We start from the raw sequence: 10,652 nt of genomic DNA on the forward strand, positions 1-10,652 counted from the left end.
GTTATCCCTCCCCCCTCCTCCCACCCCACCACAGTCCCCAGAGTGTGATGTTCCCCTTCCTGTGTCCATGTGATCTCATTGTTCAATTCCCACCTATGAGTGAGAATATGCGGTGTTTGGTTTTTTGTTCTTGCAATAGTTTACTGAGAATGATGATTTCCAATTTCATCCATGTCCCTACAAAGGACATGAACTCATCATTTTTTATGGCTGCATAGTATTCCATGGTGTATATGTGCCACATTTTCTTAATCCAGTCTATCATTGTTGGACATTTGGGTTGGTTCCAAGTCTTTGCTACTGTGAATAGTGCCGCAGTAAACATACGTGTGCATGTGTCTTTATAGCTGCATGATTTATAGTCCTTTGGGTATATACCCAGTAATGGGATGGCTGGGTCAAATGGTATTTCTAGTTCTAGATCGCTGAGGATTTGCCACACTGACTTCCACAATGGTTGAACTAGTTTACAGTCCCACCAACAGTTCAGAACCTCTGTCTCCTCCTCTGGACAATGAGATCATCACAGCTGCCCTTTAGCACTGGCTTGAGGATGGGGTGTGTTTACCGGGGCCCGCAGGTGAGCAGAGCCTGGAACTGTTAGGACGCTATAGCATCGTTAACTCCCCAGTGCTTCTCTGTAGGTGTTTACCGAGAAGGCCACGTTTCCTCTCTCCATGGCTCAGCACTTGGGATTCGCAGACACCTGTGATCCATGAATTCAAATCCCCAAATTACACATCAAAACGTCCCAGTGTGACTCCAGAAGGAAGAGGATCATCCTACCTCCTCTCTCCCTAGGCCTCCGGCTCATGGCCCCATCAAGAGAGCCACCAAGCAGAACAGCCTCATGTTCTATCAGCTGCTCACTAATCACACAGAGGGAAGAAGGAGACCTTCACAAATAATGCTGCATCTCCCACTAGGAGACATTCTCTGCCACTGGCATGTTGTCACCTGCCTGGCTACTTTCTGATTCTGAGGATGGGCTGGTGTGGCATGGGCTCTGCTCCCAGCATGCTTTGAGACAGAGGCAGGCAGGTGCACTGACGTCATCCCGAGGACAGGTGAGCAGTACTGAGCACCTGGTGTATGTCAGGTCCCATTCTCAGTGTATCCACTCATGGGAATTTCATAACCACCCTTAGGAGGTAGGAAGTCCTGTTGTCCCCATTCCACAGATGGGGAAATGGAGTCACAGAACCGTTGAGAGTTTCGCCTGAGTTCTCACTAAGCAATTGCAGAGTAAAGATCACAGGCCCTGGCCTGGCATTCGAGGCTCACAGCACGGTCCCTTTCCCCTTCTGACTTGCCACCCACACCTTTCCCACGTAGGACCTATAATCAGAACAGTTTCCTGAATATTCGTGTTTTGTCCCTTTGTGTAATTTTCACATATGTGATTTCCTCTGCCTAAAATCGCTTCCTTGGCTCTGCTATCTGTCTCATTCATTCATTCATCATTCATTCATCAATTTTTTTTTTTTTTTTTGAGACAGGGTCTCACTCTGTCACCCAGGCTGGACTGCAGTAGTGCCATCTCAGCTCACTGTAGCTTCAAGCTCTGGGGCTAAAGTGGTCCTCTCACCTCAGCCTCCTAAGTAGCTGGGACCACAGGCTCATACCACCATACTTGGTTAATTTTTATTTTATTTTTTGTAGAGATGAGGTCTTGCTATGTCACCCAGGCTGGTTTCAAACTCCTGGGTTCAAGCAATCCTCCTGCCTCAGTCTCCCAAAGATCCGGGATTACAGGTGTGAGCCACCGCATGTGGCCTCATTTATTTTTATTCAGCGAAGCTGTGTAGAAAGATGTGGACAAGCAGGGATGTGTTTATTAACCTCTGTGTGTCCATTGTCCCCAGTCTCTGCACTTAACTTTTATGGAATATCGAATTCAGTGACATAAACCAAACTTCTGTTAAGGTCCTAGGACTCAATAAATTCAGAAGTCACAATTTGGCAGCCCATGAGCCTCAAATGCACCACAGATATGTATTGGTGAGCCCTCATAGGATGTTTAAATATTTGAATAGGGTGCAGACATATACAGATTTGGAGATTTTATAAGACAAACCTAGAGTTTGAACTTCTACTGAATACATTGAGGGCTGTGGCAACCCAGAGCCTGCATTTGTACATGGAAACTCTTGGCCCTGTTATATACAGCAGGCAGTCTGCACACAGTCCCCAGCCCTCCCTGGTGTCTTGCACTTGTCTTTGTTTTTTTTTTTTTTTTTTTTTTTTTTTTTTACTTATCTAAGATAACAGTTTGGCCCTTGAAGGAGGTGTTTGAGTTTACAGCCATTGCAAAGAGTTACTTTAAATCCTCTAAGCAATCCTTTCCTTATACATGATAACATGTTGAACATACCTGCCTGGAGCCAGGTCTGTGCCAAATGCCAGGGATGCAGAAACAAATGAGCACAATGTTTGTCTTAGATGGCATCTCCTCCAGGCAGCCTTCCCTGATACACCTTACTAGATTGGCGGCCCAGGCCAGATCCTCCTCAGAACCCCAGCTTACCTACCCTAACAATGATCACTGTTAAAATTAAAATTAAAATTGCCAGTGTATGAGTCTGATCCACACGGTAGACTGCGCAGTCTTTAATCACGGCAGCTGTGTCTTATTTATCTTTGAATTTCCAGCCTCATACACAGGACCTGATAGAGAGGTGGTTTCTGGTCCTGTTTATCTCAGAAATGGATGCAGGAACGGATGAATAAAACTGAACCTACTGGACCCTCGACCATGCATCTCTGAACCAAAAGACTAATCGAGTAACGCTGTAAGTGGCTGCTCTAAAATTCCAGTTCCCACTTGAAAACCATCAATATTTAGATGACTGTATTTTCTTTCCAAATGCCCGCAATATTTTATGTCCTGATAATATTTACGGTTGTCCTCAGAGATAACTAATTGGATTTGCCATCCAGCCCACAGGGAAAACGTATGGGGAATTGTCCCTCATTACTCACCTCAGAAGGTGGTAGCTCACTCCCCAAACTTATATCACTGTGATTTGGGGAAGACTGAAATGGTGCGGGAAGGAATAATGTCCCTGCTGTCACCCTGGTCTTTCCTTTGCATTTACCACTTGGACAGAGCCATTTGCATCTGAATTGAACCTGCATTAAAATTTCAAGTTTATGTACTGCTGATGATAAACAAAGAGGTTCCAGAAACAGCCCTTAAGCTGTGGAAGCTCATCCCCCTTGTTTCCTGCGGGACACCCTCCTCAGTGACCCCAGCTCAGAGGTGACCCATCTCTTGTGCTCCCAAAGCCAACTGTACATTCTTCATGGCACCATTTCATTTAAAATGAAAGCCAGGAGCAAGAACAGCGTTTCATGAGATGCAAATATAGAATTAATGTGCTCTCTTCACTCCTTTCTCTTTGTGTTGTCTTCCCTTCCATCCTGAATTTTCATCCTTGTTCATTTACCTTCCTAGAATTTTTCTAAGCTTCTAAGTTTTTTCCTCTTTCTCTTTAGGGAAATAAATAAAATGTAATGCATTACATTGAAGTGGTTCTTTTATTCTGTCTCTTCCACTGAACTTCATGTCTCTGAGAGTATGGATTGTGTCAAAGTTTACTTACATTTTCCCAGTGTCTAGCATGGTGTGACACTGTGATCAACAAAAGAGGAAAGAAAGAAAGAAAGGAAGAAAGAAAGAAAGAAAGAAAGAAAAAGAGCGAGAGAGAAAGAAAGAGAGAGAGAGGAAGGAAGAAAGGAAGGAAGGAAGGAAGGAGTGAATGATAGAAATCTGACTTTGCCATTGATCAAGGTCTCTGTACAAGCCAAAGATTGCTCCAGTCTTACTGCATCTATTATTTCATTTAATCATTACAACTCTATGTATATAGCAGGCATTGTTATGGTTGTTATTATTATTTCTACTATTACTTTTGTTATTTTTATGGGTAAGGAAACTGAAGTGCAGTGAAGTTAGATGACTTTCCCAAGGTCAATAAATCGTGGAGACAAGATGAAACCGTGGATGCCCAACTCCAGAGCACACACACACAAATCAATGCTCACTACAGAAATGTTAGGAACTCATCCTTTGTGTGAGTGTATGTGTGTGTGTGTATGTCTAATGTAATTGGTTGTAATTTGAACGTTGTAAACCCAGGAGATGGGATTATCTCTGACTCCAAAATCAGATATATTCTGCATCCACTCACTTTGATGTCACCAAGTGTAGTGGACATGCTATCAGGTCTGGGACTGACCAAACCCAGGGCATTCTAATGCAGGGGCCTTGTGGATGTGGCTCACTGAGCTCCAGGACCCACATTTTTCTGACACCTTTTTCTCAGGTGTTCCATGTCCTCTCTGCCTGTTGACCTTTTTCCCTGAACTCCTGCAAAGATCTATTGGGGCTGGAGTTTGGTCTCTGGGGGCAGGCTGGGTATTCCCACAGCCTAGAAATTCATGTGGTCAGACTCCCATGGGAGAAGATGAAGGAAAAAAAAAACAACAACAAAATTTATTCACATATGAAGATGGAAGTACCCTTTGACCACCAAAATAAAACTCTCACAAACAACGGTTGGCAAGGTGAAAGCATGGTTCTGCCTATCTTTAGATATTGAGGATTATGAAACGCAGAATTCTAAGATGTATCTCCAGATTCCTGTCCTCCTGGCATACACACACACCCTATAAACTTCCTTCCTCTTGAATGGGACAGAGCCTGTGAATACAATGAATGCTGCTTCACTGAGGAGGTTACACTGCTAGATGAAGGAATTTTACAGGCGTAATTAACGTTCTCAATCAGTTGACTTAAGGTCAGTCAAAAGGGAGATGGTCCTAAGTACACCTTACATGATCTTGTGAGTTTTTAAAAACAGAGATTCTCCTGCTGCCCTGGAGGAATCTTCTTGCCATTTTGTGATGGATCTATGGATGAGAGCAGGGGACAAGGACATGAGCAGAACCCCACAACCACAAGGAACTGAATTCTGTCAACAACCAATGAGTTTGGAAGAGAAATCTGAGCCTTAGATGAGATCACAGTTCTGCCTAACAACTGCACCTTGATTTTAGCTTGGCAAGACCAAGAAAAGGACCCATCAAGCTGATAGCAGACTGCTCACTGAGGGAGACTGTGAGTAATTAATTAAATTGTATTGTTTTAAGCTGGTAAATTTGTGGCAATTTGTTGCGTAGCAATAAAAAAGAAATTGAGATACTATGGTCTGAATGTTGGTGTCTGTACCAGTCTGTTTTCACACTGCTATAAGGAACAACCTGAGACTGGGTAATTTATAAGGAAAGAGGTTTAATTGACTCACAGTTCCACATAGCTGGGGAGGCCTCAGGAAACTTACAATCATGGTGGAAGATGAAGGGGAAGCAAGGCACATCTTACATGGCAGCAGGAGAGAGAGAGAGAGGTGGGGGAGGACTGCCAAACACTTTAAAACCATCAGATCTTGTGAGGACACACTATCATGAGAACAGCATGGGGGAACCCCCCACCGCCATGATTCAACCACCTCCCACCAGGTCCCTCCCCTGAAACATGGGGATTATAATTCGAGGTGAGATGTGGGTGGAGACACAGACCCAAATCATATCAGTGTCCCCTCAAAATTTATATATTTGAACCCATTATCCAGCATGATGGTATTAAGAGTTGGGGGTATTTGGGAAATGATTAAGTCATGAGGGCTCCACTCTCACGAATGGGATTAGTGCTCTAATAAAAGAGGCTGGAGAGGGCCCCTTACCTCTGTCTCTCATGTAAGGACACAGTGCTTACTCCCCTCTCTTCTAACATGTGAGATTGAAGGCACAGTCTCTGAAGCAGAGTGCAATCCCTCACCAGACACTGAATCTTCTGATGCCTTGGTCTTAGACTTTCCAGTGTCCAGAACCATGAACAATAAATTTATGCCATTTATAGATTATGCAGTCTAAAGTATTTTGTTGTAGTAGCCCAAATGGACTAAGAAATCAGGGATGTATCAGTTTAGTTGTTGCAACAACGATGCTGTGTAACAAGCAACCACAAAATCTTATGGTTTACAACAATAAACATTTACTGCTCATGCATCTGTGGCTCATTTAGGAATCAGCTGGGTGGCACTGCTTCTCATCACAGATCTGGGTTGGCTGGGACAGCCCCAGTCCTCTCCTCCAGGCCATGCATGTTCTTCTCTTGGTAGTGGCAAAAGAGCCAAGAAACAAGCAGAAATACAGGAAGCTTCTTGGGCCTAGGCTCAGAACTGGCATGCTGTCACTTTTGCCCATACAATGTCAGCCAAAGTAAATCTGGTGGCCAAGACCAAAGTCAAGTCCATTCTACCCTTGAGGAGGTAGGTCATGGGACAGGCGTGGAAGCAGGAAACAGTGAAGAATTTAAGCCAATAATGCCATCTAGCAGAACAAAGGAATGACAACAGTGGCAGGCATATTTATTGGTGATGATAAACAGGACCCATGGCCCCCAGACCTGTCATCTCAAACAGCAAGCATGATGGAAAGTTCATTTTGCTAGGACAGGATTCAGTTAACACCAGTGCAATTCATTTATAAGACACCTTCTTCCACCTCCTCAACAATCCAATTCTAATTTACAATTGAAGGCAGGAATTTGACTTTTAAGGAACATATGTGCCACACCTTCTGCCTGATTTCCATAAGGGTCCTTTGTGCTGAAGAAGCCCTAAGGTGGTCCTGGGAGATGCCACACCTTCTGCCTGATTTCCATAAGGGTTCTTTGTGCTGAAGAAGCCCTAAGGTGGTCCAGGGAGATGCCACAAAGATGCCCCATCCAGAGACAGTGAGGGCATTGGCTGCTCTTCAAAGTCAAGGAGGCCACATGTGAGTGTTTATTCTGATGTCATTGGATGAGAACAGGCAGGTCCAGGGTGGTACATCCAAATGGTATCTTTATTGAAGCAGGATTGAATTCATTTATTCACAGAAACACTTATTGAACACATAGTAAGCACAGGGCAGTGTAGTGGACCCTAGGTGTGGAAGTGCAAATAAAATATTGTGGGGGTCCTTGAGGGATCACATTCTGAGGAGGAAGATGGTCTTCGAAAATAATCAGTTACCACGCAGAGTAGTATACACGAGAGAACTCTGTGCTGGGTCAACTCAAAGACGGAAGGATGGGATGGTCAGGAAAGGTTTCATGGAGAGACACAAGGGGTCTTGGTCTTGAAAGAAGAATAGTCTCTAGGAGGGGAGGTTGAGGAGAGTGGGTCTTGATTAGCAGAGAGAACAATGTCTACAGACGTTCTTTGTATTTTGGAGATCACAGGCTCCCCAGAGAATCTGTTGAAAACTCTAGATTCTCTTCTAGGATCCATGCCTATGAACATCAGTGTTTGCCTACAGTTTCAGAGTTTCTCAAGTTGTCAACAAGCTTGTTCTCTTCTGAGAGGCCCTTAAAGTTTCTATTCACTCCACCTTCTTCTCAGGAGAGCCTTGTCTCTAGCCTGGGAGCCCCTGGCAAGATCCTGGGACCACCGCGCCCAGAGCTTCCTTTCATCCAGAAGAGTCAGCATCATGCCATCTCCTGATTGGCTGTGGTTTACCTACACCTGAGGGGATGCTGGCTCCAGTGCCAGGTATTTCTAGGAGCTCTGAAGGGTGAGGCAGGGTGTGCTCCGGAGTGTCTCTGCCGAGGCATGTCAGTCAGTGAGATGTGGGGGTGGCAGCCTCCTCCACAAACGCTATGTCACCTCCTGAGGGACACGGGGTTGACTCTCCACGCACTAGCTCAGGGGAGTACACCATTCTGTCAGTCAAAGGTGCCTTCATTTGTATCCTGCGATTATTTTTCTCTTAATTTGTCTTAGTTCCTCTCTCTCTGTCTGACTGCTGATCGTTCAGTTTCTGCCAAGCAGGAGAGAAGAGCCTGAAATGAACCCAGAACTTCTGCAATGTAAGGCAGGAATATAATTTAACAGGTCTCTGAAGAATCCTGACAGCAGGCCTAGTACTGAGCTATGCTCCATGAAATGTATGAGAGGCGAGTTTCCTGGATTGCAGTGCTGACCTAGGTCTGCTCTGGAATTGTCGCTGGCTCCCCTGTACCACATGGAACACGTTTGGTCATGGCAATTTTTTAGTCTCTGTAGTACAGAAGAGATCAGGCTCACTATTAACAAAAACAACAGCAGCAAAGAATTTTTAAAGGCTGGGGAAGGTAAGAGTGAAAGGAAGAAGAAGAGTTATAAAACTCAATAAACATTCCAAGCTTGTGCTCATTTTACAGCCACGTGCTGCTCCCAGCCTGGGACTTTGACCTCTGATCTCCACTTGCCAGGGTCTCTCTTGTCACTGGGGTGTCACCTCCAATGCCACTACTCCCTTAACCAGGAGATCTAAATTTGTCCTAACTATCCAACCATTCTCAACCAAATCATGCTGTATCATTTCCCTGTTTGCACCCACTGAAAACTCAGATGGCCTTGTTTTTTTATATTTTTGCATTTTTGTTTTCTCTCTTCTTCCAAAGAGAACACAAGCCCATTTTGTAGTGCCAGTGCCTGCAACAGACACGCAATAATTATTTACTGGAAAAAAGTGGCTGGGCATTCTGGTTTGCTTTCTGGGGTGCAGAGGCCCCAGACCAGCCTTGAGGATTCTCTGATTTTTAATTTCTCAGTACTCACCTCTCTTCTTCATTTGATCCCCTCTTTTCAACATCCATCTCCCCGCAATACACAATTTTGCATATGTTCACATACACAAAGACACACAAACCCACACAAACGTACACAAGCACATTCATACAAACACATAAATACATATAAAACACACTCATACAAGTGAACACACACAATTGCACACAACAAAACAGCACATATAAACACACACACACACACACACACACACTCATACAGAGAAGGAAGCCATCACTAGTTCAATCAGGAATTATGTCAAGGAGCGATTTCCCCATAGGAGCCTAAGTTGGGAAAGGTGATGGATGAGTAGTAGGTGGGGGCTTTGGGGTTGGGGTCAGGGAGTGGCCTTTCTTGCAGAGCCAATGGGTCAGGGACACTTGGAAACAAAACCAACCTCAACTTGTTTAGTTTCGCTGTTCCTAATGGTAACCTAAATTCTCAAAATGTTAAAAAAAAAAAAAAAAGAAAAAGATAGAAATATCTTCTAAGACTCATGCAAGCCTCGCTATGTTTTTATGAGTGGGAGAGGCAGGGCTAAAGCGTGATGAACAGTAGTGTTTTAAATTAACTTCTGAACTTTATATGAGCTGTAATGATCTGTTTATCTGTCTTCACCAGCCTCATAATGGCCAACTAGAGGGTCAAGACTTGAGCCTTTAACATCCCATTATGCATCTCAGAAAGACTTCTGCCCGGGTCATTATTGCTTAATTGTACCTTCTTCTTCTTTGAGTGACTTTATTAGGCCATAAGAGAAGCCTTAAGTAGCTCGTTGGTGATAGAGAGTCCCGCCCGTGCGACCGCTCCTGCCCTGATATTTACCGTGATGGGCAGGAACCGAGGATGTCTCCTGGCCGAGAGAAGCCAGTGGAGTCTAAATCCCTTTTGCAATTTGGTAGAAAAACTTGCTTTTGTGTTGTCTTGTTGGTTTTCAGCATGGCCATTTCTAGTGCCCTCTTTTAGGTTTTCCAGCTCCCATGAGATCTTCCTAAGTTTTTTCTATATATCCATTGCTTTCCTGGGTGGCGGGATGGTGTCTGGAACAAGGTCTGAATGGGTGATGTACATCATCACACCTGTCTGTGCCTCAGTTTCTCTACCTATAAAAGCAGGATAGTGACCCCTAATTTTTCTTTTCTGTAGGCCCTTCAGATGACTAAAAGAAATCACTGGTGGGAAAATGCTTTGCAAACCGTGGAATAAGACCTTGTGGGTTAAATTTTGATGAAGGTAAAAACAGCGTTGCCTCTTTTCTGTCGTCTGTGTGTTTATCCTCCCCTCCCCCAATAGTGGATGACAGTTCTGCCTTTTTCTACTTTCCTGGCACCTTTACCTTACAGCTTGCATGTCCAGCTCTTCCAGGTTGATTGCACCCCATTGATTACCCCATCGCATGTTTGACTGTCCTTCCCCATTGGACCCAGTGGTCCCCGAGGGCAAGGTTTGAGCCTCCCTCACCCCTGAATCCTCAGGGCCTGGCAGGGGCCTGGAGTTCACGATGTGCATGTTTCTGTGGTCACAGAGCAACCCACATGCTTTTGCGTATTTGATGTGGGGGAGCGAGATCAGGGAGATCTGGTCACCCTGGGGGCACCCACTCTGTGCAAGGCCCTTGGCTGGGTGGCTTACATCATTGTCCCCTTGTAAGTGATTTCTTTCATTTTGCAGAGGAGGAGACTATGCCTGAGGATGATGAAGCACCTTTTCCAGGGGTGAGCACCTCTGCGGCTCTCTTCTGAGCAACACCTTCATAGAGACAACTGCCTTCCAGCCTCCCCTGTGAGCATTTCTCACAGCCCCTAGAGATCATCCTGTCCAAAAGTGAGCAGGTGGTCTGTGCTGCCCATTACCTCCAACTTTTCCTGCCACCTTAAATGGGATCTCCATCCACCTGCATTTGTGGCAGGTTCTCCACCTTTGGTCCCCATTACAGGTGCACGAGTCCATCCACTTCTCACTGCCTGCCCAGAGGCCACCGTCAGTCACCTG

At 44.9% G+C, this 10,652-nt stretch overlaps 1 annotated feature.

Annotated features, from left to right (window-relative positions):
* Positions 8,689-9,888: an enhancer, noted in NCBI's record as "BRD4-independent group 4 enhancer chr14:97869232-97870431 (GRCh37/hg19 assembly coordinates)". NCBI's record gives its function as "activates an origin of replication core promoter dependent on BRD2, P300/CBP, MED14 and CDK7 cofactors, and independent of BRD4, by STARR-seq in HCT116 cells {active_cell/tissue: HCT116}" and the evidence as "EXISTENCE:reporter gene assay evidence [ECO:0000049][PMID:35650434]".

This window comes from Homo sapiens, chromosome 14 (assembly GCF_000001405.40).
Source record: "Homo sapiens chromosome 14, GRCh38.p14 Primary Assembly".
Classification (NCBI taxonomy): Eukaryota; Metazoa; Chordata; class Mammalia; order Primates; family Hominidae; genus Homo; species Homo sapiens.